At 40.4% G+C, this 27,313-nt stretch overlaps 1 protein-coding gene across 20 annotated transcripts in view, besides 1 other annotated feature; it reads right to left on the minus strand.

Moving 5' to 3' along the window:
- AFF3 (ALF transcription elongation factor 3) overlaps positions 1–27,313 on the minus strand; it is a 597,172-nt gene that overhangs the window by 500,407 nt on the left and 69,452 nt on the right. The window contains exon 1 of one of the 20 annotated variants that reach the window (XM_047444287.1): positions 7,309–21,354. The exons of the other annotated variants lie outside the window; for them this stretch is intronic. The gene's annotated coding sequence lies outside the window, so the exon portion shown is untranslated. Of the gene's footprint in view, positions 1–7,308; positions 21,355–27,313 lie in introns of those variants that run through there. 20 annotated transcript variants of the gene reach the window in all.
- Positions 1,202–1,496: an enhancer, noted in NCBI's record as "tiled region #9249; HepG2 Activating non-DNase unmatched - State 21:Repr, and K562 Activating non-DNase unmatched - State 13:Ctcf". NCBI's record gives its function as "activates a minimal TATA promoter and a strong SV40 promoter by Sharpr-MPRA in HepG2 and K562 cells {active_cell/tissue: HepG2 | K562}" and the evidence as "EXISTENCE:reporter gene assay evidence [ECO:0000049][PMID:27701403]".

The following is a 27,313-nucleotide window of genomic DNA, read 5'->3' on the forward strand; positions in this document are numbered from 1 at the left end:
GTAAGAATAATATCTATCATATATTAACAGTACATATAATACATGTAACATACAAAATGCATGTTAATCAACTGTTTATGTTATCAGTAGGGGTTCCAGTCAACATTAAGCTATTCATAGTTGAGCCTTTGGGAAGTCAAAAGTTATATGTGAATTTTTGACTGCATGAGGGTTGGCACCTCTAACCCCAGAGCTGTTCAAGGGTCAACAGCACACACTCCTGAGTTCCAAGAATAGTCTACCACTTGCTGATCACATGATCTAAGGCAAGTAACTCAACCTTCAAAAGAAAACCTTTCTTGATCTGTAAAACAGGAATAACAGAATTAACAATGCATGTAAGGCATGTACTTAGCTGGTGCAGACAATGATTCTGATAACAGCTAATGTTTACATTATCCTATACCTACTCTATAGTGCTCACACACAAACAGAATGAGGCACAAGAGAGGCCCAGTAATGTGTCCAGCCCCACAGCTAGTCAGCGGTAACATCAGGATTCCAACCTATAAGTCTGGTACCAGAGTCCATGTTCTTAAACCATTAATCTACGATGCCTCTCAAGTAAATAGTCAATAAGTGGTAGGTGTGAGGCTGTAGGAAAAAGAGGAGACGAAGGGACAGGAAAGCAGTCCTCATTGGAAAACTAGGTTTCGACTGGCACTGTTGGACTGGGCTGCAGTTTAGGTCCTCCCACTGCTGAGTTCCCTCACTTCATCTCCTGGTGCTTCTGGTTTCCCATTTATAAAATGCAAGGGAAGGATTCTATTTATGTCACAAGGTGCATCTAAGGAGTAAAAAGTCACGTCATGTTTGACCAATGTTAGTCAGATCAAGATTTATTTTAGATAAATTATCTGTTAGTTTTAATTACCATGACTCAGTTTTTATGTTCACTTTTTGGTCAAAGCTAAATAAAATATATAAATATATAAAATCTGGGCTCCAACCAGACTCCCACACACTCTCAGCCAGGCATCTTGAGCAGGTACCGTCCCTCTTGTCCAATGGCTGTGTAAAAGTGAGGGCAGGAATCCGCCTTGACAAAGAAAGTTCAACCGTCTAAACTCAGTGGATTTGAAACTATTTCAGAATAGGATTTCTCAGAATGAAAACAAATCTATGACTCCTCTTAACAGCCAAAAAAAAAAAAATCTTGAAATAATGACTTTAAGAGTAAGACTTTAAAAATACAGATCTACACTTTCCACTGTAACAGCCACTAACCACATATGGCATTTAAATGTAAATTAATTAAAATTAAGTTAAATGCTAAGCTCAGTTTCTTGGTCCCGACGGCCACGTGGAGCCAATGGCACCCGTGCTGGATGGCTCGGATCTAGGGCCTCTCCACCGTCGCTGAAGGCGCTCTTGAGCAGTGCTGAGCCACATGCTACGTGGACAAGTCAATTTTCCTTTAACATGTGCCCAATGTACTTTATTTAAAACACTGAACTTCTTATAATATTTGTCACTCCTACATTATTCCATTATTTATGTAGTCCTTCCCTTTGTTCCTTGGCTCTGTCATAGTGGTGACAGAAGGTGAATGCAATTACTGATTTACTTTTCTATCTCCCCAAGGAGACGGTGAGTTCCAGAACTCGGTAAATGCTGAGTCTTACAATTCTCAAAGGCACAACACAGACCCCGTCCTTATTACATTACCATCCTACACCACGAGGATAAACTCCAGACAATCTGAATACAACTTGAAAACATTTTTAATTACTCAAAAAATAATCCGTAGTATATATTCTCAACAATTTTTTTAAACAAGATACAGTTGGAGTGATTAAAATCTTGAGTTAAAAAAAGTCAGCGATTAGCTCTAAGCCAATGTTTAGGCAATGCAGTAATGCTTAAGTTCTTTATTCAACCATTAGTATACTGATGAAATTCTCTGTAAGGAGTAAAACATCATGTCCTCTGTGACAAATTAAGCTACAAAGCTGTTTCCTCTGTTCTCTGCTTTCTAGCTTGTATTAACTAGTGCCATAAAAGAAAGCCTTTAAGATAATATTTATTTGCAGAAACAAACACTGATTCAAGGCACTTAGAAGCACATATGTGCAATGAGGGGAACACTTGAGGGAATCCTAATATTTTATCATGTCCTGGATATTACTGCCGTTGTACCTGCATATCTCCATACTCATCCCACTCTCGATATTTCATGTCAAGCTCTACTCCCAACCAAAGACGTTCTGGTGTTATACCTGCAGATTACCCACAATAATGGCACCAGTAAATATCACGTCTCACCCTTTGTCAGAACTGTCTAAGATTACATAAACATGACATATTTTAAGAAGGAATGCATCCCTGTTGTTTACAATGTAACAAAGATAATGCCGTGACAAATATCCTAAGCTATAAATAAAGACATTTACCATTGTACTGCACTTACTCATCTCTGGGTTGAACAAATGTTAATTATAGAGAATTTGAAAATGGGACTTGTTAATGCCATTTTTAATTTAGCATGTTACAGTGTAAATGTTTTCCATTGTGTTAATTTACACCTGTTATCACAAGCTTCATTATTAGGTTTATAGTGGAGCAGCTCTCCGTGACTCTGAAATTTGCTTAAAATGGCAGAAACAATTACTAATTAGAAGGGCATGTTTACTTTAATTATATTTATTTCCTAGTCTAGTTTTACATGTAATGTACTATGGAAGTGTATGATTTAATTAGTGAAACCCATTTATGAAGAGCAATTTCTCAAATGAGTACTGCTTACAAAATACAACAGATTCTTTCAGTGTTTCGTAAATTCCTTGGGTGATATTTCTACAGAGAGATATCCACATGGAAATCTTTCACTCATGAGTTCAGAGCATTTCCCGTTTTTGTTCCAAATACTGCAATAATTACCAGTAACAAGAATTCAGCTCTAGAAATTTTTAATGCAAATCTTAATATATGGTGTGCAAAATGTAGAAATGTATGAGTATAATCTTTAAAAATCTATAACCAAAATTAACATGGGATTTCTTTATTGATGTTCACGCTCACAAATTTCAAATCCTATTTTATCAAATCCTACTGACAGTCACACTCACAAATTTAAAAATCCCACCTTAATATATAAAAAGCAAATTCGGTTTTTTAAAATAAAAAAGACATGGCTTTTTTCCTCTCTGAAGTCATTTCTCTGGCTTCCAAAGCACAACTGCCTTTTGTTTTTGTCAAATATTGAGGCACAGTAACTACCAATGAAATAACCAATTCAGGCAAAGATCATTCTGCGAAAGACTACGGGGAATGGGATATTCACCTGGTCTCAAAAGATCACCCCACAGGCTCCTTAATCACAAAAGGAAGAAAGAACCTTATAGCACAGAGAAATCTGGTGGCCACAGCCTTATTCATGTGACCATACATCCCACCAAAGGGATAGTGTGACACCGTGTACTTCCTGTGGTGCCACAGGGGAAGGCCACTCTGTCTTGATGGGATATTCTCGCATCTTATAGGAGGAAACAATTGGAACTGGGGGACATTCCGCAAGACCTAGCCTGGACTTTTCAAGATGCTACATGTCACAAAAGACTTTGAAAAAGCTGGAAGACTATTATAGATTCAAAATGAGGCTAATGAGATGTGACAACTAAACATAATGTGTGATCTCTGGCTAGATTTCGGACTTTAGAAAATAACGGCCATAAGAAAAATTACTAAGACAATTAAGGAAATCTGAATATAAACTGTGCACTAGATATTATTATATTCAGGTTAAAGTGTCCTGAGTTACACTAGAAATGTTTAGGGATTAACTGTAGTGACCTCAAAGAGTCTTTCAAATGTTCAGAAAACAAAGTGAGAGCTATCAAGAGAATGTGGCAGAATGGCTAGTGAATGTGGGTGATGAGTATTCGCCCATCTCCATGACACCATTTTTTAAACTTTTCTATATACTTGAAATTTTAAAAAATCACAGTTGGGAAAATATAAATAATCCAATGGGCAGAGTGGGAGGTCAAACTAGGAGTACTCCTCATACAACATCTTACACCCCAAACTTCAAGAAACATTACTGCCCTATTCTGAATGTAAGCTTTCTAGCATTAATGTTAAACCCATTAAAATGGCAGTTACTCGGCCAGGCGTAGTGGCTCACGCCTGTAATCCCAGCACTTTGAGAGGCTGAGGTGGACAAACCACGAGGTCAGGAGTTCAAGACCAGCCTGGCCAACATGGTGAAACCCTGTCTCTACTAAAAATACAAAAATTAGCCAGGCATGGTGGCATGCGCCTGTAGTCCCAGCTACTTAGGAGGCTGAGACAAGAGAATTGCTTGAACCAGGGGTGAGCCGAGATCACACCACTGCACTCCAGCCTGGGTGACAGAGCAAGACTTCATCTCGGGGGGGAAAAAAAGGCAGTTATGCTTGCAAATGGCTTCACGGTTGTCTCTCAAAATATTTAGTCACAACATTCCCATGAAGCACATTCTTCACATTGTCACATAAACATTCTTATGTTTTATTTTACTTTTTATTTTTGGGATAGGGTCTTGCTCTGTCACCCAGGCTAGAGTGCAGTGGCACGATCATAGCTCACTGAAGTCTTGATCATAGCTCACTGCCGTCTTGCAGTTCAAGACTCCTGGATCGAATATTCTTGTTTTTAGATCCCAGAAAGAATCCATGCCACAGAGCAGCCAAGATGTTTCTTGTATAAAGACTCATGCATCTTGCCAGCTTAGGTGAGAGTTCCTGTACTTGCTGTCTAGAAAAGATGTAACTGCAGAGTGTGTTTCAATTTTAAGATCCTTACTATAAGGTCCACTACACAGCACTGTGCACAAGTGTGCAAAAACACACTTTCTTAAAGGAAAGTAAACGTCAGTGCACGTAGGATTTTGTCTGACCGAGAGAAATCCCCAAGCACCCTAAAGGGCAGATCATTACCCCCTCATCTCCCAGCAGTCCCTGCTTCACATTTCCACACTGCCCCTGCAGATGCAGATGGGCTTGACTGATGCACCAATTTCCATGCAGGAGCTGATGCTGACAACCTCTTCTGGGGATGCTGCTATTGACTAATGTGGAGTAACAGCCAACAAGGGAACAGTCCCGCGGAAAGAAGACCTGCCAGAAGAATGCCACATTCCAGGTTCCCTGTCTCCCATCCTCTCCTACCCAGACAGAGAAACTGCCCAACATGCTCTCCGCTAATCCTTGTGACTGACACAAAGCTTTCCAGCAACCTATGTCGTTTTTAGAAATGCTGGGGAAGTTATTTACAAGAGTCCTGATTTCTCCCCACGGCAAAGCCCATTTCTTCCACCTCAAATAGTCATTCAGGTAGTCTTCTTTAAATGTGGTTATCCTGCCGGTTAGGGCAGACATCAAGCCCCTTTGTTTAAATGCGCACCCACTCCCACCCCAGCCCTGGATGAAACCCCTGGGGTAGACCAGCCCTAATAAGGGAGGTAAAAAGTATTTTGAAAGAGAGCTGGAGAATACGAGCTGAGCCCACGCAACGGCTCCCAGGAAGATGTCGAGGGGCTTCCATGAAGAACTAGTTAAGGCGGGAGCTGATCTGCAGATAAATCAGCAGCTCAGCAGCTTTCAACTCAGTCTTCAAACATACTGCTCTTGCAATGTTCTGAGGCTGAAAATAGATATTCTGTCTCCAGAAAAGGAAGAATTAGGATGAGGCCAAGCTTGTTAGGAGAAACAAGAGAAGCTGGTATTGAACCTGATTAGACAGGAGCATCTTGCTAGTCCCCTTTCCCAAGCTGTAAAAAGTTAAGATGAAAAAAACCAGCATGGCTCACATTTCTTATCTACTGTTAATATAGAGTTTAAATTAAAACTCAGGGGGTCTCTACATGGACAGATGACTTGTAAGTGTCCGCCTCTGTGTGTTCACAGATGTACAACATACACTGTGTGTGTGTGTTTCAAGAAGGGACAGCCCAGATAAAGGGAGGTTACTGAAGCAGGCTAAGTTTCAGCAAAATGTAACCTTCACCTTAGAAACCAGGAACCAGAGTAATTAGATTACAATCTTTCCAACACTATGGGAGAGATTTGATCAATTAAAGCCAAGATCAGTTACATTATTTGGTTTACCTAAGTAATGGACCCTTAAATGCAATCAATACTTCTCTAGGCTGTGAGTCTTCAAGACCTGAGATGCATTCAAAAAACACAAATGGATTTTCAAAGGGCCTCGGGATGTTCATCACAGGCTGAGGAGGAGGACTGCAGAGGGTGGGGGGCAGAAGGAAACAGACAACAGACCTGAGCTTGCTGTATGAAGTCTTCATTTCCTTCCCTCACTGATGTGCTGCTTTCATGTTCATTTTGTAGTTCATGTATGAATTAAATTTGTTTTACCAAAGAACCTTAATCTAGGGATGAGCAGCCATGTCACTCAATTCATTTTAAAATTGCAGCATTAAAACTCATTTAATAGGATAAAGAATACGATTAAGATTTCTATTTGTGTTTCTGAAAATCCACAAAACTTACATTGGGAAGTTACGAAGAAAAAGGCAGAAGTAGCTCTAGATCTTCTACCTCGTCCCCCATGCCATCCCTTCCACAACATGGATTTAGGGAAGGACAATGACCCAGTATGCTTGGGACCCAGGGCCATGACCCAGTATGCTTGGGACCTACCTGGAGCTGACCATATCCTGCCTTCTAGAACTACCCTGGCTTAGAGTGGATCCATAACAGTCCCGTGTTAACAGCAAACTTTCACACCACCTATACTCCTTGTCCCCACTCTATGTGCAGGGTCTGTCTCCAGTCCTCCCTTACCCAGACAGAGGAACTGCTCCACAGGAACCCAGGAAATGCTCCTGGGTTTAGAGATTGTGATTCAACTTGGTGGGTCCATTTGCCAAATCATACTGTTTTAAAGCCTAAAAATAATGTATCTGTATGTCCAGATAGAACACTGCCCAGGCCACTCTCAGTCCATTCACTAATGAGGACTCCTGCAGGGGCAGGGCAGGACAGGGCGCTGCACCTGCTCACATTTCCTCCAGCCGCCTTCCCCAGTACGAGCTTGAGCATGCGCACCTGCAACATGTGAGGCTCTTATCAGTGATTTTGTTTAACACACTTGTAATAATTAGAAAGTGAAGCAACTAATTCCTGACTTCCCCAAGAGCAGGGCTTCTGTTAAAAGGTGTGGGGAAATGTGACAAGAGGGGAAGTGGAGAGGGGGAAATTGATCCTGAGAGTTTACTCTGCATAGCTTTGAAGTCTCTGCAGTAATGATGAAGACAAGCTAAGGTAATCTAAAACAACAGGTAATCAAAAAGTCATTTATGTTTACCTTTTATCATCAATTATCTTCCTCTTGGCAGCAGTTGAAAAATTATGTTTTACTCAAAAGTCAGGCTGTTGACTTTATTTATACAACACTTGAACTGTGTTGGGTGTCAGCGTGTTAGCCACTGTGGAATTTCAAATTCTGCTGTTTGACAGTACCCGAGAGTTGACTCTGAGAGTGGTCTTCTAATAACTGTATTCTTGGTTCCTAAAATGAGATGTTTTAGCTCAGTGCCAAGAGTGTGAAAACACATGGGGGCATTACATTAGAAACCTGGGACCTGTCAATTAATATCATTTTCCTCCAACATGAAGAAAATACATCCAGAGCTCAGTCTTCTCATTTATGGAATGGGGATAATAATGTGTAGCTTGCCTTTCATAGTTGTCTTTTAGACCAGGAAAGATAATGTATAAGAAGCACCTAGAATCATCTTTGACATGGGGTGGGAGCACAGCCTATTATGATGAGACATATCCCTGAAAAAGAGTCCCTTTGAGTGTCTTCGTCTTTCCGGCTGAATCATCTGCTGATTCAAGAAGAGGAGGCCATATGCAGACAGCACAAAGGGAACTCCCCCATGGAGCTTCAGATGGTAGCCCTGCACTCACTTAATTATTCACGCCAGCATGAAATCTGCCTGACATCCCTCTTCCTCATCCTCTTGACAGCAACAGCATTAAAGGATTAAGTAGTATTTGGGGCTCTGAAGGGGCCTGAAGAGTGTTTGTGTACAAAAGGAAGAGCTCACAATCCAAGTACATAAGACAGCGGACATCACTTGGGTTTACATTGACCTCCTCTGTATCTAGGCAATGGTCTCTTCAAAATCAAGCACCACACCCCCAATGGCTGCAGTTCTCCATCCTGGTTAAGGCCTCTCCTTCTGAGGAATGACTTCTTCCATTTAACAGTCAGTCTAACCCTGAGGGCTGGAGAGGGCCACAGAGGTCATTAACACAACCTCTACACCTGCTGAACAGTGTGGCAGGAAGAACATAGGGCTGTGGAGTGAGAAGACCTAATAACCCAAGAGCTACCTTGGCCACTGACCAAGTGGGGGCACCTTGGGAAAGTTACATCCTCTGAGACTCTGTTTTCTCATCCACAGGATGAGGAAGTTGCATTAGATGGATTTTCTGTGTCATCTTGCTTGGGCCATGGGGTGCCACACATTTAGTCAAACATTATTCTGGCTGTTTCTGGATAGAAGTAACATTTCAATCTGAGTAAAGCAGGTTGCCCTCCCTAACATGGGTAGGCCCCAGACAATTGGCTGAAAGCCAGAACAGAATCAAAAGGCAGACCCCTCCTAGATATAAGGGGGAATCTCTTTCTGCTTGACTGCCTTGAGCCTGCGACATCAGTTTTTCCCTGCCTTTGGACTCAAAATGAAACACTGGGTTTTCCTAGGTCTTAAGTCTGCCAGCCTTTGAACTGGAACTCACACCACTGGCTCTCCTGCATCTCCAGCATGCTGAGTCATTCTGCAGATCTTGGAACTTGTTGACCTCCATAATCACATAAGCCAATTCCTTATCCTAAGGATTTACGTGTATTGTTTTCCATCCATCCTATTGGTTCTATTTCCCTGGAAAATCCTAATACAATCCCCAAAGATGAACTTTCATTTCTAACCCCTACCAAATGGCCATCTGATCCACTTGTACACCTCTTAGAGACAAGACTGCACTGCTCCCTGTGGCACCTCACCCTGCTCTAAGGGCAGTGGAGGTCAGCCTCTTGGGAAGCACTACCCCAGGTGACTCCAAAGCTGAACCAGCCACATTCCCACCCACAAAGAGTGTTTCTCCAACAGGTGTGATTTGACCTGAGCAGATACAGTAGAAATTTTATCCCTGCTTTCACTGTAATTATGTCAATGTAGGCTGAGATTGCCTTGGTTGTTATTGTTGGGTTTTATCTCGTTTTGGGTTTCCTGGTTATCACATACTGTTCGTTGGCTCATATTGAGTCTGCAGTTAACCCTTAACTCATTTTCACATCCATTTCACTGGGTGTGGCCAAATCACCACCTGACACTTCTGAAAGAGACTTTTAGTACATAGGGAAGGCCTTTATATTTTTTACTATACCAACATCATCTTGTTACCTTAGGGCCAGAATTTTTGCAGTTCTTACCCTGTCATCTAAAGAACCATGTCCACCTCTCCCTCTGTGTCATCCAGAGATTGGATTGCACAGTACATCATTAACCCTCATAGGAAACAGGAGATGGCACACACGCCCTTGCTGCACTCCCCACTAGCACCCTCCCTCCTGGCCAGTGGTCTCCAGCTCTGACTTCACATTACAATCACCTAGAAATCTTAAAAAAAAAAAAAAAAGAAAAGAAAAGAAAAGAAAGAAAAATGCCAGGCTCAACCTCTGATTCTGATTTAGTTGGAGGGGCTGAGGAGGAAAGATGCTTGGGCATTAGTAAGAATGCTTTAGGTGATTCTAATGTACAGCAGGCTGAGAACCAGTGTTCTGTCTAGGCCAGAGATCAGCAAACTTTGTCTGTTAAAGAGCCAGAAAGCAAATATTATAGGCTTTGCGGGCCAAATGGTCTCTAAAGCAACTGCTCAGCTCTGCTACTGTAGCACGAAAGCAGCCTTAAACAATACATAATAAACAAATGGGCACAACTGTGTTCCAATACAACTTTATTTATAAAAACAAGCAACAGGCCATTTTGCCCCAGAAGCTATTTCATTAGTTGATCAATCTGTTCATCACCCAGTTTTAAAATAGTTGTGGGCCCAGCACAGTGGCTCACACCTGTAATCCCAGAGCTTTCAGAGTCGGAGAAGGAAGGACTGCTTGAGGCCAGGAGATCAAGGTTACAATGAGCTATGATCATGCACTCCAGCCTGGGCAACAGAGTAAGACCCTGTCACTTAGAACAAAAAAAAAAATCGCTGTCTCTCTCTCACACACACACACACACACACACACACACACACACACACACACTGGTTATGGCAGCAAATATAAACTCATCAAACTGTATTATCACGCTAGTCACATCTCTCCATCTTGTCTGTGACACCAGAGACTCTCAAAGTGGCTGGCTGAAATCAATATTCACTCTCTATCCGGCATTCCCTTCATGTATCAGACGAATGATCCCATCTAAACAAGAAAAAGACTTGTTCTTAGAGGATCCTTTCTGTCTCCCATTACTCACTGCTGCCTTATTATATGTTCACAAACGTCTGCTTAATATTGCTTCTAGAATTCCTCAGAAACTGACTTAAGCTCACCCATCTGTAGTTTCCAAACCATGCTTTCCCCCTTGAAAGCTGGGACATGTTTGTCAAAATCATTTACAATCTTCTGGCATCCTATTCTCCTTGATTCACAAAATATTATCTAAAGTGGTTCCACAATCACATCTGCAAGTTCCTTCCGTGCCCAGGAGGCGTAAAGGCATTTTTTTAGTCATTCTCATTATCTCTTCTATCTTGGGTTTTAATGTCTCCTAACCATGTTTATTCTACCCTTTCCAACTTAAAGATCATTTTTCCTGATAAAGATGATAAAATCAAAATAGAAGTTGAGCAGTTCTGTTTTGTCCATGTCATTTGTTTACTCTATACCATCTGTTCTAAATAAGGCTATGTCCTTTTTTGTGGGGAGTGCTCCAAATAGTATTGTTTTAAAACTCTTATATACAGGCAACCACACTTTCTGGTTCACCTCAGGCACTCTGGTATATACTGTCTGCCCTGGGGTAAATACGAATAGAGGCCTCTTTACTCTGAAAAGTGTCTGGTTTTTTGAACAGCTGGTTCAATAAGTAAAGCTGAAGAAATGGTAAAGCACTCCACAGGGTTCATGGGCTCTCAGGTCTTCCACACATTCAAGAAAAAGAGAAAACTATTTCTGTTGAAAACTTTGGCCACACTGGGCCAGGCATGGTCACACCTGTAATCCCAGAACTTTGGGAAGCCAAGACGGGTGGATCACCTGAGATCAGGAGTTCGAGACCAGCGTGGCCAACACGGTGAAACTCTGTCTCAACCAAAAATACAAAAATTAGCCAGGCATGGTGGCGGGCGCCTGTAATCCCAGCTACTCAGGAGGCTGAGGCAGGAGAATCACTGGAACTCGGGAGGCAGAGGTTGCAGTGAGCTGAGATCACGCCACTGCACACCAGCCTGGGCAACAGAGCAAGACTCTGTCTCAAAAAAAAAAAAAAAAAAAAAAAACTCTAGCCACACTGGATTCATATCCTAGGCCTGCCACTTACTAGTTCTATGACCACAGGATAAGTTACCCAATCTCTTTAACTCTCAGCTCAACTCACTGGAATCTCTGTGCCTATTTAATACTAAATGCATGATTAAAGCACATAGCATTTACACATATCACATGATAAATGCTCAAGACCAATTATCATTGCCAATATTACTATCAGTGTTATTAACTCCCTCAACCCCTCCACAGCAACATGGTATCTGTGACTCTCTATTGGTGCAGTTTGTCCTTCCTTTTCAGAATGTCACATCTTGTTTTCTCACCAATCTCTTGCTACTGGTTTAAACTCAATGCTACCTCCCCACAATCTCGTAAAGTCTTTCTCATCTTGACAAAGAAATCTTTGTCTTCACTAGAAATCTGGAATACTCCAAGGAAGTTTCTTCTCTGGCAAAGAAGCAACCAGCATTTATAACAAACATAATTTGTGAGCTGCTCTGGAAAGAAATGCAAACGTGTATTCCATGAATCCCTCAGCAACTGTCTTTCCTGGAATCAAGATAAACTATTATTCTTCATGGTTCCCTTGGGAACACACTCTGAAAACTTAGGAGACTGCAACTCTCAAATAGCTTGAGTAAATCACCCTAGCTAGAAAATAAAATGACATTAACTTTCTGAGAAAAGGACTGACCCAAGGCATATTCAAATAGGGGAATCATAAAAGGGACCACACAGGAGAAAAATGAGTGATAGCTACAGTTTTAGTATCAACTACAAAAACAGTAACCATTTACTGAGTAACTAAGATATGCCAAGAAATGGCATACCAGGCATTTTATAAACATGATTTCATGGATTCTTCTCAACAATTTTGCTGGAAATTGAGGCTCAGAGGAAGCACTTGCCCAAGGGACATAACTAGTAAATGGCAGGTACAGCACTTACCACGGGTCTTCTGCACTCTAAGTTCAAGCTCTTTCAGACATACCATGCTACGTGTATTTTTTTACTGAAGGTGCTCCAAACTAGTTTTTGAGACAGTTAAAAATAAAAGGACATCATGAAAAAAGCAAAAATAATATTTACATACATTTTAGAAAAAAAAATATATAAACATTGTTGGTTAAGTGGATAGCAGACCTTTAATTAGCAATTTTGAATGATGAAACAGCCACATAGGTGCAATGCTTCTGGCCAGGGCAGCTCATTAGGGACTCAGTATCCGAAGTCTTTCTTTTTTTTTGGATGGCTAGCCATGTATACACACTGTATAGCCTCTACCAAAATTACATACCACTTAGCACGAATGCAAGAGATCCCTTCCTCGTACTATAAACAAAAATTAACTCAAAATAGATCATGAACCTAAATGTAAGAGACAAAACTATAAAACTCTTAGAAAATATAGGCCTTGATTAGCAAAACCTTCTTAGATATGACACGAAAAGTACAAGTATAAAAAAGTTTTCATCAAAATTAAAACCATTATCAAGAAATTGAAAAGATACACACAGAATGGGAGAAAATATCTGTAAATCATGTATCTGATAAGGGACTTGTACCTGAAATATACACTGAATTCTTACAACTCAATAATAAAAAGAAAACCTATTTTAAAATGAGCAAACATTCTTGGCCAGGTGCAATGGCTCATGCATGTAATCCCAGCACTTTGGGAGGCCAAGGGAGGTGGATCACTTGAGGTCAGGAGTTCAAGACCAGCCTGGCCAACATGGTGAAACCCCATCTCTATTAAAAATACAAAAATTAGCCAGGCTTGGTGGTGGGTGCCTGTAATCTCAGCTACTTGGGAGGCTGAGGCAGGAGAATAGCTTGAACCTGGGAGGCAGAGCCTACAGTGAACCAAGATCGTGCCACTGCACTCCAGCCTGGGCAACAGAAGTGAGACTCTGTCTCCAAAAAAAAAAAAAAAAAAAAAAAAAGCAATGGATCTCAATAGACATTTCTCTAAAGAAGATAAATGAATGGCAAATAAGCACAGGAAAAGGTGTTCAACATCTTTAGTCTTTAAGGAAATGCAAATCAAAACCACAATGAGACACCACCACACATGTAGCATTGGGATGCCTATATCAAAAAGACACATAATTAAAAAGTCTTAGTGAGGCTGTGGAGAAACTGGAACCTTCATACACCACTAGTGGGAGTTTACTGGTAGGGTCGTAAAGATATTCTAAAATTATGGTGATGGCTGCACAACTCTGTAAATATACTAAAGCCATTGAATTGTACACTTTATATAGATGAGGTGTATGGTATGTGAATTATATCTGAATATAGCCAGCGTGGTTGTTGTTTTAAAGAAAATGGTATGTCCTCATTTCTTCCAAATCCAAGGCAAGTTAGCAAAGGCATAATGAGAAAAAGAGGTCTAATTTTCATTCAGAGGCCACATCAGTGCTCCATCTGGACAAAGAGTCAGCCAAGAAGCCAACTGCCAGGAGTGGAAGATGACCACTTCCAGGATCTGGCAGAGAGACTTTGCAAGTGCCTTTGAAAGAGGACAATGAAAATGTATCTGGCATGAAACACAGCAGGATCCAAAGAACAGGCTTTGATATTGCCAGTCATGATGCGTGTCTTTAAGATCACAGATAACGTTCTGTGTAACAACAAACACAAAATGCCTATGACTAAGTGTATCCTTCTGATCCACTCGTGTGCAGTTAGAGAACACCCAAGGGGTCCCACACACACACGTGAAGGGGACACTCCCAACCCATGAGGGAAACACACCCTCCATCCTCCTTTGGTTCAACCCCAGCCTCCGAGAACAGGTAATTTCATAGGAGCTTGCTCAGCTCTGTGTTATCCACAAACTTGTCACCTTTATAGTCACTTGAAGAAGTTGGAAAAATACAGTGAAAGTCCTGGTGCTACAACAGAGATGTAGCCTATGCCAGATAAGCTTTACATGTGTTACCTCATTAGTCACTCAACACAGGGTGATCATCTTACAGGAAGAGATACTGAGGCACAGGAATGTCAACTTGCCTAAGGTCACAAAGCTAGAAGGAACAAAATAGGGCTTCAAACCCAGTCATTTTGGCTCCAAAGGCTATGCCTTAACCACTGTGCTAAGCGCCGCCTGCTTAACCGGGCTACCTTTTCCACCACAATTTCTCATCCCTTCTGAAAGATGGTCACAGGTGTTGCTGAAATACAGGTAACACTATAGATATATATCAGCTCTCTGAGCTATTAGATAAATGATTTAAATATTTATTTTTATTTAAAAATATTTAAAAATTCTACTTAAATAGAATTTTAAATAGTTTTACATTTAGGGGTACAAAAACTTTACAAAGATAGTGCAGAGAACCCTTGTATACCCCTCACCCCCTGGATACCCCTCACTTGGTTTATTCTGTTGTTACCATTGACATTACTACGTACATCTGTCACAATGAGGGAGGCAACACTGGTATGATACTATTGACTACACGCTACACTTTCTTTGGATTTCACAACTTTTTTCCCCTTAATGTCCTTTTCTGTCCCAAGATCCCATCCCACTACGTTTAGAGCTCATGGCTCCTTTGCCTGGCCTGGTCAGTGACACTTTGCTCAGACTTCCCTTGTTTTCGATGACGTTGATGGTCTTGAGGAACACTGCCAGGCATTTGGTAAAATATCCCTCAATGTAGGTTTGACTGATGCTTTTCTCACTCATCACTAGACCCAGATTATGGGTTTTTCAGGTCACAGAGATGAAACATCCTTCTCACCACATCCTGTCAAGGTGTGACATAGTCGATGTGAACTGATCACTGGGATGAGAAACTGTTTGCCAGGTTTCTCCACCTCTAAGTTACTTTCTTTCCTTGCCCTAGTGTGATGTTTGAAGCTAAGTCCCAAAGTGCAGCCCATGCTGTAGGAATGAGGAGTTAAGCTCCATCTCCTTAATGGGGAGTAACTATATAAATATAACCTTATTTTTAATGATGGTTAATCCGTATGGCATTAAAAAAAATAAAACAACATGCCAAGTGACAGTGTACGGCCCTTCCCTATTGTTGCTGACTCTGCAGTGGCTGTAATGGCTTCCTGATCATCTTTATGTCTCAGAATCACAGGAGGTAAGAAGCACTATCTCCAAGGTGACAAAAAAGTAAAACAACTGGCCAGCATGGAAAGAGGGAAGTCCATTCCATTCTAGATGATGTTTAACAAACAACAGGAGTCAGAGAAAGGAGAAAAAACTATCCCATGATGGAGGCAACACATGCTGCATGTTTGTATGGGCAGGTATTAAACTGGAAGTTTCAAGTAAGTTTCCAAGCAATGACAGATATAAATTTCCAAAGTGAGGTGCCAGGCTCTCCAAAGGAGCTTTTCAAAGTTAATGTGTCATAACTAGATTCATGATTTTTTATACCCCGACCTACTCTGAGTGAGAAACAGAAGTCAACAGAGAATTTTGTTTTTCTTTGAGGGGGAAAAAAAGAGCTGTGCTGTGATCCCCTCCACCATCACCAAAGAGATGGGTAGCACAGTGGAGGGGGGGGGGGTGCCGACTCTCAAGTCCACTGACAGAGGCTTCAAAGCAGAAATGCACAGCACTTGATATAATTTCCGTAGAATTTTGGAGGCCTGCTGGACTGGCAGCTGGTACACAGCTAAAAGATAGAGGCTAGCTAAAATTGCACTGGGAAGGACCTGAACTGCATTCTCCCTCTGAAGTGGAGGAAAGGCACCTTAATTTGGGAAGCCAGATGTAGAATTTATGATGGGGATGTCGACCAAGGTCATCCTGCCCAAGAGATTTCTTCCAGGGGGTCAGATGGACCCAGCAGGGTCTGGATGAGGCAGATCTCATAAAATCAGAAGCTGCGAGCAATGTGGGAGCAAGGGAAGGCAAGGCTGCCAGAGTAAGGTGGCTGCAGTTGGAGGGGCCCAGCAGAGGAGCACACGGAGTGCCCATGTGGAAGGCCCTTTAAAACCAGCTCAGGCTTCCAGAAGTATGGCAGACTAATACTCTTGTTGTTTTACTGTCTACCAGTAATGAATGAATGAAAACCAATTATTATTGTTTTGTTGGGTTCAGAGGAAATGAAAAAAAAATGTCTACAGGGGCAAAAAGGAAAAGGAACAAACAGTAACAACCAAAAATCCCTGGGCAGTGAGCCTCAGAAAAGGGGAACGGTCCTGTGAGGACATGTGGTGATCTCACGTGATCTCTGGGAGGCTGGGCCTCAGCTCTGTGGCTGGGTGGGGGAACTAAACTAAAATTCCGGGGTTACATGGCAGCATCTGGAAGGCAATGGAATTGTCTCAGGACCGCAGTACCCCCGCAGGACAGCAGCACCCTATGACTACTGGCAAAAGCAAAAGCAAATACTCTGAGAAAAGCATCCTTGACTTAGGCCCCAAGACTTTTTCTACAATTAGGATCAACCAAATATGAGCTAGCAATTAAGGTTTACTAAACAGACAGGGAAACGAAACATCAGGAGTGAGAGAAAGAACAGATGCAAAGTGCCAAGGACTTCAGATGCTTCAGTTACCAAATACTGACTATAAAATAACTACATATGAAAGGCTAAAGAAGTAAAAGACATAATCACAAAAATAAATAAGTAACAAGTGACTATCAAAAATGACCAGGCAGGGCTGGGTGCAGTGGCTCACGACCGTAATCCCACCACTTTGGGAGGCCAAGGCGGGTGGATCACCTGAGTCCAGGAGTTCAGGACCAGCCTGGCCAACATGGTGAAACCCCGTCTCTACTAAAAATACAAAAATTAGCCAGGCGTGGTGGCACTTGCCTGTAATCCCAGGTACTCGGGAGGCTGAGGCAGGAGAATCACTTGAACCTGGGAGGCGGAGGTTTCAGTAAGCCAAGATCGCGCCACTGCATTCCAGCCTGGGCAACAATGAGCGAAACTCCATCTCAAAAAAAAAAAAAAAAAAAAATGACCAGGCAGTTTCAGCTTTGCAAACTGAAAAGAGCTGTGGAGATTGGCTGCATAACAACGTGAATGTACTTAATATTAACTGAACTGCGTACACTTAAAAATAGCGAAGATGGTGAATTTTATGCTATGTGTATTTTACCACAATTTTTTAAATGACAAGGAAGATTTTAAAAGAACTAAAACTTTTTAAAATAAAAACTATGATTATTGAAATAAAAAAATTTGCTAGCAAGATTATACAGCATTTAGTCAAAGCTAAAAATAGAATTAGTGAATTGGAAGGAAGAAATGAAAAAATTACCTAAAAGGCAATACAGTAAGACAAGGAAATGAAAAATATAAAGAAATGTTAACCTAAATGGAGAATACAATGAGAAGGTCCAAAATATGTCTCATCGGAGACCTAGAAGAAAAGAATAGAAAGGAAGGAGGAAAGGGAATATTTAAGGAGATGATAACTGAGATGTTTCCAGGAGTGTTAAAAGACATAAATCCACAGATATACTAATCAGGGTAAATGAAAAGAAATTCAGGCTGGGCGCGGTGGCTCACACCTTAAACCCCAGAACTTTGGGAGGCTGAGGCGGGTGGATCACCTGAGGTCAGGAGTTCAAGACCATCCTGACCAACATGGAGAAACCCCATATCTACTAAAAATACAAACTTAGCCGGGCATGGTGGCATGCACCTGTAATCCCAGCTACTCGGGAGGCTGAGGCAGAAGAATCACTTGAACCCGGGAGGCGGAGGTTGCAGTGAGCCGAGATCGTGCCACTGCACTCCAGCCTGGGCAACAAGAACAAAACTCCGTCTCAAAAAAAAAAGAAAAGAAAAGAAAAGAAAAGAAAAGAAAAGAAATTCAATCTAGGTGATTGTCATAAAACTGATAAACAACAATGATAAAGAAAAGAGATGTTAAATTGCAACAAGGCCCAGAAAACACAAAGCCAGCATATGACCAGACCCAGTGAGAAATCCCTTCTATTTCTTACTATCACCTACCCCTCCTCTACTCCTTTTCTCCCCAGCATTCACTCAATGAGAAAGAGTAGCTGGAGCGGGTGGGGAGAGTATCAATATGACACTAAACCTACCTCCTCCCACATAATCTGGATGGATGCCTACAGCCATGTCTTCAATGGGCAAGGAAAGTCTTACTTTCGCATAAGTGAAATTTCTGAAGTTCTCATTAACATATTAATATTCTTGACTGAATATCTGAATTGCTACTAAATTAAGATGGTGTGTTTTCAACTTAACACAACTGTCCAATGTAGGAAGAAAGAGAGACATGTGAGTTAGCCTTCCTCAACAAAAAGCTTGTGATAAATTCCTGTTACCTATGCATTGCAAGTTGCAGAAGAAACCAAGTCTATCTCTCACCATTTGCTTTCCCAGGGTCAAAAACCACAATCATCTTGATAAACAAGGCCTATGCAAATACAAAAATACATCGTCATGCAGCGATAATTTCAATGCCTGCACTCACCTCCATCCCATTTCTAATATGCAACGTATTAACTGCCAACTCATTGTGAAAAGCATCTACGCTGTTCTCTTTTTTATAAATTCTATAGATTCATTATGATTAGATACTCTCCATATACATCAGCTAGCCAGAAAAGGGGAGGAGATAATGAATAATACCCAAGGGAAGGAAAATCCCTTTTTCAGCTGGTTTAAGTCATGCCGATAATGTGCACACAGCACTATGCATTTACCATAAAGCTTTTCAATTAGTTCATAGACAAGTTAACCTTCTAACTCCCAGAAAATATAATTCACGCACATTTTATACCACACAGCATCCTGCTAGCTATTATCCATCATTTACAAGTGTTATTTGTCTATAAAAATGACACTAAAGTTTTGAAAAACGAGGCTGCTCTGCCTTCTTCTGGCTGTGTTTTAACAAATGGTATCAATGCAAAAGGCTTATAAAAAGTCATATAAAAAGCAATTAGTCAAAAGAGCAATAAATTTTTTTAAAAGGATATAAATGACTGCCTGTCTAGATAGCCAAATGTCTGAAGGCTGATACACAATGAAATAAGGGTTAACATAAAAGAGTACACTTCATTATTTATTGTTAATAAAGTTAATCAAATTCAGTTCTTCTTACGCATGCATTTAAACAGAAACACAAGTACGATATGCATATTTATAGAAAACAGCCCTAAAGATCATTATCTCTAAAAGAAAATCCAGCAAAAAGAGATGCATAAAATGTAGCTGTTACCCTTTTACAACATAAACTGTTTTGCTTAAAACACAAACATTTATTTTAAGTAAAACTATTAAACTAAATAATATTTTCCACAACTGACAACCATGACTAAAACATGAATTCTAGGATTAACATTAAAATAATTTTGGGACAGAGGGAAACAGAACCCTTCCATTTTTCTTTTGCTGGTATCTTATCCACCTACACTAGTTTTGTTCTTCCACTCAAAAATCTATTCTCAAAAGATATATTAGAATCTTTTTAAAACAAAATTAGATAAGCATAAGCTCATCAATCAGCAATTTCTAAATGCATTATCTTCAAGTAGTTTGGTCTTTTATGTCACTTATCTGCTTAAAATTAAGTATAAAAGAGTTTCCAAGAAAAGAAGATATAAAATTAACTTCATTTCATAATAAGTTCTCCAATCATGCCAGCAGACAGCTGACATTATTACAGCTCACACTTATAAATCAGTGATTATATACACTAGTTAAGCAAGAAAAGAAATGAAGAAGGCAATTATATAGTGGTGAAATTCCCAAGAAGCACATTTGTAGTCAATGTTGCTAAACAGTAGTTCACTCGTGGTTAAAATAAAAGCCCCCTCCCCCTGCCAGATATTTTTGGGGTTGTGAGTTTTGAGGGGAAGAAAGTAGAAACTCTATGCAATTTGTTTTACAAATAAATTAAAAAGCCAGCAAGAAATCAATGAACTGTAATTTTAACTCATTTTACTGTTTACTTTGGAGCTGAATTCTAAAACTTCCATATGACATTAAGCTATAAAATAGTACTGAATCAAACGGAGAGTAGAATACTTTGGAGGAAGGGGTGGTATCTGAATATCTATAGACATTTGGTAATGAACGAGCCAGTGACGAATGAAGACACAGGGAACTGAGCTGAGCTTGGTTTCCACACCCTCTTCTGTTCCCTGCCACTTGAATAAGAGCCAAAATGCCACTTCTAATCTTATTTTCCATTTCTTAAATGTGTTTTATTAACTCCTCTTTTATTGCAAAGCTAAATATTCTAATTGGCACATTATAGACATACAGCTACTAGATGTCAATTACACTTTAATGTGTTTGTAATGCTCTGCAGCAGTGAGGTTCTGGCAGACCCAGTGAGGTCCCATTTATTTCTTCACTTGTAATAATGGCATGATAATACAACCTGAGTAGTGCATCAGAACACAGTAGTTAGCATCACTGCAAGAGAAACACTCTCTTCCATCTTAGTTATATTGCTTTGAAGAAATCAGATATCCTTTCTACTCATTCAAAAGGAGAACCGAACAATGCTGATTATTCCTGAAGGACCTTTTGATTTTCAAAGCATTTGCTAGTAATCTGTTAATTAATCCACGCAGCCCCTCCGCAAGGAAAACTAGAGGAGAACTGCGCAATACTGTACTAACATTTTAGAGACAACAACAGGAGGGGACAGATATTTGGAGAACCTGACAAAAGTCTGAGAGCTTCTACAAACACAACCTGCAGAAAATGTCACTTGATTCATATCTTCAACTCCAGGGTTATGCCCTGAAGGAAATGCACTCATGATGATGTGAACTGCAATTCGTGGACTTGTATCTTCATCTAAACCATCTTACCCATAATTCATTCCCCCTTACCTAGCACACTTTAAGATCTGTTCATGCTTCCACATAGTTAAAAAAAAAAAAAAAAAGGTGGGGGGAGGGTGTAGTTCAAAAGACAGACAGATAATCCTAAACCCCTTTCGTCCCAGGACTTAGAAAGCTTATTTTTTCCAGTCCAATATACAGCCAAAGGAAGGAGCAGGATAATCTACAAGGGAAAGTGCCTCTTATCTGTTTCCTTCCTGAGAACAAATGGACCAAGCATACAGATGTGAGTGTACACATGTGTGCACACATGTGCCCCTCTCAAAGTGCATCTGAAGTAAATTAAAAGAATCCTTTCTGAGTGATCAGTCTGTTCCCTGAAAGGTCAGAATTTTCTGGTAAATATTTTTTATAACTCCACCCTGTCTAAACAGCAACAACGACAACAAAAATTTTAGCTAAAAGCATGCTTGAAGAAGAGTCTAAATTCCATTGATAAGCCAATAGTGGCATTAATAATAATGGCAATTAATAATGCACACTAGCATGATGTTGTTTTCTGTAGCACATTTTTCTAGATATCTTAAGACTCTCGGTAGCCCATATTTTTATCATCCCTCTCCATGAGGTAGGGCAAGGGTACTTATTATCCCTATTTCACAAGAGAACTATGTCCTAGAAAATTAAAAGACTTGTCTAAGCTCTAAACTGGTAACAAGGCAGAGACATGAATTTGGGTCTCCAAACTCTCTGCTAACTAAATAATGGCCCAGAAGACATACAAAAGTCAACACAAACAGAGTGCCAGCTGTTATTTACACTGCCTACAATAAATGTTTGTTCCAGAAAAAATAGTTCAAACAAGATGAGAAATAGTTTAAACACAAAAGGCTGAAGGGTTCAATATAGGAGAAAAAATATGTTTGCTTTTAATACAGTGGAGGAACTGTTCAGGAACAGTTTGTTCTTCTGTAAAGGCTGGCCTTGTTGTACTGCCGAAGGCCGCAAGATCACAAGCTACGTGGAATTGAGACGCCAGCTCGCTTCGGCACAACCAACTTCTCTCTTAATGCTCTAAGTTCCTGTCTTCTTCATAGCTTTGACCTGAACCATGAATGATCTTTTTGACAAACAAAATTTAAATGTGTGTTATAAACAGGGAGCAAGTGTCCTAATTTTGATACAGGGTGCTAAGAAATACAGAAAACAAAGGAAATTAACTGGGAGATCCAGGGAGGCTAAGAAACAATCTGCCACTGGGAGAAACAGCCATAGCTTCTGATGAGCTAGGAAGATTTTGTGGTTGATATCACAGCTGTTTGTTGAGGCTGTGGTGGGATTTCTTTTTCAAGAGGGTGAAGGGAGATTTGAACTTGGCGCCTGACACAATTATCCTAAAGTAGGAAAGCCTCAGTTGGAAGAGGATGAGTTTCTTTAAATAGCCCAAAGGCTGTGATGCGTAAAAAAGGACTTGACTTATTCTGGATAGCTCCAGAGGGCAAAACTAGCAAGTGGCCAGCAGGAACACACATACTCAGAGTAGAGCAGAGCTTGCTAATAATTAGGACTGCCTCATCCATAGCAAGGAACACTCAGAGGCTCATCTCCTCTGAACTACTTCCAGCTGGGACTCCCGACGCCCACCATCAAGGATGCTGGGAGGGAAATCCCACATTAGTAAAGATGATGGACAAGATAAACGCTAGGACTCTTTCAACTGTTAGGATTTGAGGGTGATTTTCAAGGTCCCCATGACAGTCACTTCCAGACTATGAGGTGGAGAGTCACACAGAACTGAGTCCCAACCTCAGTTCTATCACTTTGGGTATTTTTTTCTCCTTAGATGGTAACCAAACCTTGTATTTTTTAAGTTTTCTTTGAAGTTCAGGGGTACATGTGCAGGTCTGTTATACAGTAAACTTGTATCATGGGGGTGTGTTGAACAGATTATCTTGTCACCCAGGTGTTAAGCCTAGTACTCTCTAGTTATTTTTTTTTTATCCTCTCCCTCCTCCCAACCTCCACCCTCCAACAGGCCACTAAAAGAACAAGATCATGCCCTTTGCAGGAACATGGATGGATTTCTATCATTTTTTTTAACTGTGTGATACTGAGTGGCTCTGCCACCCAAGTGTGACCTCCAAATCAAGGTGTTTATTAGAATCAAATGGGGAAACTACTTAACTCTAAAGATAATCAGATCTATACCCCAGAACTTCAAAATCTTACCCTCCAGAGGGGGGTCCAGGAATGTCCATTTTTTCCCATGAGTTGCTAGCAGTCCAATTTTGGAAACCACCAATAAACATTTTTAGCCTATGAATTCATTTGTAAAATAGGAAACATGATAGTTTTTGCCTAAATGAGTCATGGAGATATTTAAATAACACGTAAAATACCTAGTATGATGCCTCTACCTAGAAAACAGTCATAGTCCCTTTAAAAAACATTTTCTGCAATATATGATCAAGCTTAAGAGCATTCACTGATTAAAAATGAGGACAGAATGGCTTACATAGAGTTAATGTTTAGCCATCTCCTATTTTCTTGCCTGTTTTTTAATCCTGTCTTGTTCTTCAAGCAACACAAAATCAGAAAGAAATTTGATACGATATAACTTGAATCAGTTTAATCAAATGCCTTATCTATGTGAATAATGCCTTAAAATTAATGTATCATCAACACGCATTTAAAAGTTGAATGCAGTAATAGAAAGCCTATGATTTTTTGCTCTTTTATAATAATCAGAAGCTCCAGATATAAACTCCTCACTCAAAAAAGTTTAAAATTCATACATATCTCCCCATTCTCAGGTAAAGATAAAAGATCCCATGTCTCTTCTCCTCTGTATCACGCAGTTACACTCACTCCTTTAAAATCCTGCAAGGTATTGAAGTGGAAGAATCATCCTGTCCTGACATTTATATCTCTACAAATGGCTTCAGTTCTTTAATTGTGAAGTTGCTTCTACACATTAGGGTGAGTGTTAAGATACTCCCAGACAGAAAGGAAGAGGGAAGGTAATTGGAGTAATTTGTATCAAGTGAAAAAAGTGTCTCCTGGATTTCTGTATTCCTAGTTGCAAGTTATTAGACTGTTTCTGTTTGGGTGGTTTTATAAAAAAAAAAACTGTAAAACGTGGTTGCGTAAGCACATCTAAAGGTTAAACTCCAAGCAGCTAATCTGCATGTGAGAACAAGTAACTGTCAAACATTTAACCTTTTGCAGATTAAAACCGTCTGACTAACAGATGTGAAACCATCGTTGCTATAATTGTTAGAAGTAGAAATCTGAGCATTTTTAGAAGATACAACACTTTTTGGAGCAGTCATGTTTATGCTCCAGGTCAACTTTCCTGTTCATGACTGAGATGCAATCATAGCCTTTCATTTATTTTCACACTGTGATTCTCCTGAATTATTATACGATGTTCATAGTTTATTCTACAGACATGCTCTTAGAAAGTTATAAGTTGAATTCTAATCGTCAGTTATATTTGCACACCGTTTCATACATGATAATTTTTTTTCCATTAAAACACTTAGTTTTCTTAACAGTACATGATAATTTTAGGAAGGCATTAGCTTCATTTCCAACTGATCCAAACTGGCCATGGCTCCTGAAGATTCTCTCTTCCCTTCCATTTCTCTACGCTCATTTCTGTCACATAATTACAAGTGTCAGCTCATGGTAGATGCTCAACCAAGATCTGTTGAATGAAGTAATTATCTTTAACACCTAAAAGATCTACTCCCTGAAGACATTTTTTTCACGAAAGCCTTTTTTTGTATTGCAAATTGCCATCTCTAGTGAACTTGCGTGATAATTTTTAATTTTAATAAATGAGATTTTTCTTATAATAGGATATATTGTTTCTGGTTTTCAGTATTAAAATTGCTGATAGGAATGAACATTTTGTAATATATAAAAGGACGTGACAGAATAATACTGTAGCTAAATACTTATCCAGCACAGTGTAGATACTCAAATATTTGTTTAAAATTACTCTACATTTCAGAAGTTGTGGCATTAAAACATTTGACTTGAAACACACTGCAATTTAATGCTACATTTCTTCTTGTCAACCAGGGTCTAACAGTATATGACCTGTTTCTAAGAAGAAATAGAATGTATGCAAAAGCTTTTAATTCTGGAAATGTCATCATATACAATAGAGAAAAAAATTTAAAATAAAAATGTCTAATACTAGAAGAAATCTGAGATATCTTTTACACGAAAGTATAAAAGTGACAGGAGGGGTTCAAGTCTCCGAATTCTGAGCTTTTTATGTGAATAGCATATAAAACATGAATTGTGAAATATACAGTAGACCATCTGTGAGTAAGATGACTCCATGATGCCATACTTGACAAACACGGACTTAGATCTGAAAAACACACAAAGCAAGCATCCACTTTACCCACGAAACACGTCGGGAGAGAGGAAGTGTGGTTCTGTGAGGCCCCTGGTCTGTAGAAAGAAACCACCACGCTCTGGCTCCTGCCTGAAGCTGCACAAATGAGCTGGCTCAGTATTAGTGTCTTCTTTTAAAGGTTAGCACCTTTAAATTGCTGGCATGGCGATTGGTGGGAGCTAGAAGGGGTACCCCTAAAAATTCTTCGAGCAAAACCGTAAATACCAAATTACGACATAAAGGGGCTGCTACTTTCTTTACAAAACCTCGGCTGTGGCTTGTTTCTCCTCCGTGAATCAACTGTCTTTTTCCAACAAAGACACCCACTTCAGGGTTTCAAGGGATATCTATTCAAGGCACGTACTGTACAGCATATGTGGTTATCTACAGGTAGTACAGCCTGTAAACCTAGTTTGCTCAACTAAATAGCATTTATCATGTATTTTTATGCCTTCTGACATCTGCTACTAAATACAAACAATGAAAGCATCTCCAAAAACTAGAGATTTCTACTCTAGGAGATGTGGTGGCTGGTAAAATCACCTGCACTTTAACCATGGAACAAGACATTTCCCCTCCCCATGTCCAGCCCATGCCCAGACTGTCCTCTAAATCAGGGGTCCCCAACCCCCAGACCATAACAGTCCATGGCCTGTTAGGAACTGGGCCGCACAGCAGGAGGTGAGTGGAGGGTGAGTGAGCCTGAGCTCCACCTCCTGTCAGATCACCGGCGGCATTAGATTCTCATAGGAGAGTAAACCCTATTGTGAACTGTGCATGCGAGGAATCTGGGTTGTGCTCTCTTTATGAAAATCTAACTAATGCCTGAGGATATGAGGTGGTACAGTTTCATCCTGAAACCATCCCCACCCTCACCTCCTCGTCCATGGAACAACTGTCTTCCACGAAACCGGTCCCTGGTGCCAAAAAGGTTGGGGATTACTGCTTTAAATGAACCCTTGGCCTTTAAGGGCACATGCTGCACACCTGGAGCTGGACCCATGGAGAGCTGATCCTGAGTTGGGCTGGGGCAGGCTTGCTGGCCGGGCTATACCATGAGCTAGCTGCCTGTCCTACTGGTAAAGCCTGCAACCCCAGAGAAAGTGCCCATTTCAGACCAAGAAGGGAGGTGCTCACAACAAACGGAAACATCTCTGCAGTCACACCAAGAGCTGCACCCTTGTTCCTCATGTGTATTAAGTGCAGGATTAATGCCATGAATGCTAGGAATCCACCATATCACAAACACTGACCTGTTGGGTCAACCAGTTTCCAAAATAACCTCATTGCTGTTTCTTCTCGTTTGTATTTTATCTTTGCCTTTTCACCTTCATTTCCCTCTTTCCTGCCATCCCTTTTACCTTAACTGAGTTCTTTGTTTCCTATTTCTGTCCCCATATTAAATGACTTGGCTAGTTCACTCGTTGATTAAAATACGAAGAAGTTATTGTTGGAATGAGACATTGTTCACTGCAATGTCTTTTTTCGATGGAGAACAAGATAAAGGCCAACGCTGTGAGTGTCAATGTTGAGGACAGGTTCCCTAACTTCAGCCTCAGAGGATCTTCCCATGCTGTAGTCTAACATGCTGTTACAGGTTGAATTGTGTCCCTGCAGACCCCACAATATTC

The sequence above is a fragment of the Homo sapiens genome, chromosome 2 (assembly GCF_000001405.40).
Source record: "Homo sapiens chromosome 2, GRCh38.p14 Primary Assembly".
In the NCBI taxonomy this organism is placed as follows: Eukaryota; Metazoa; Chordata; class Mammalia; order Primates; family Hominidae; genus Homo; species Homo sapiens.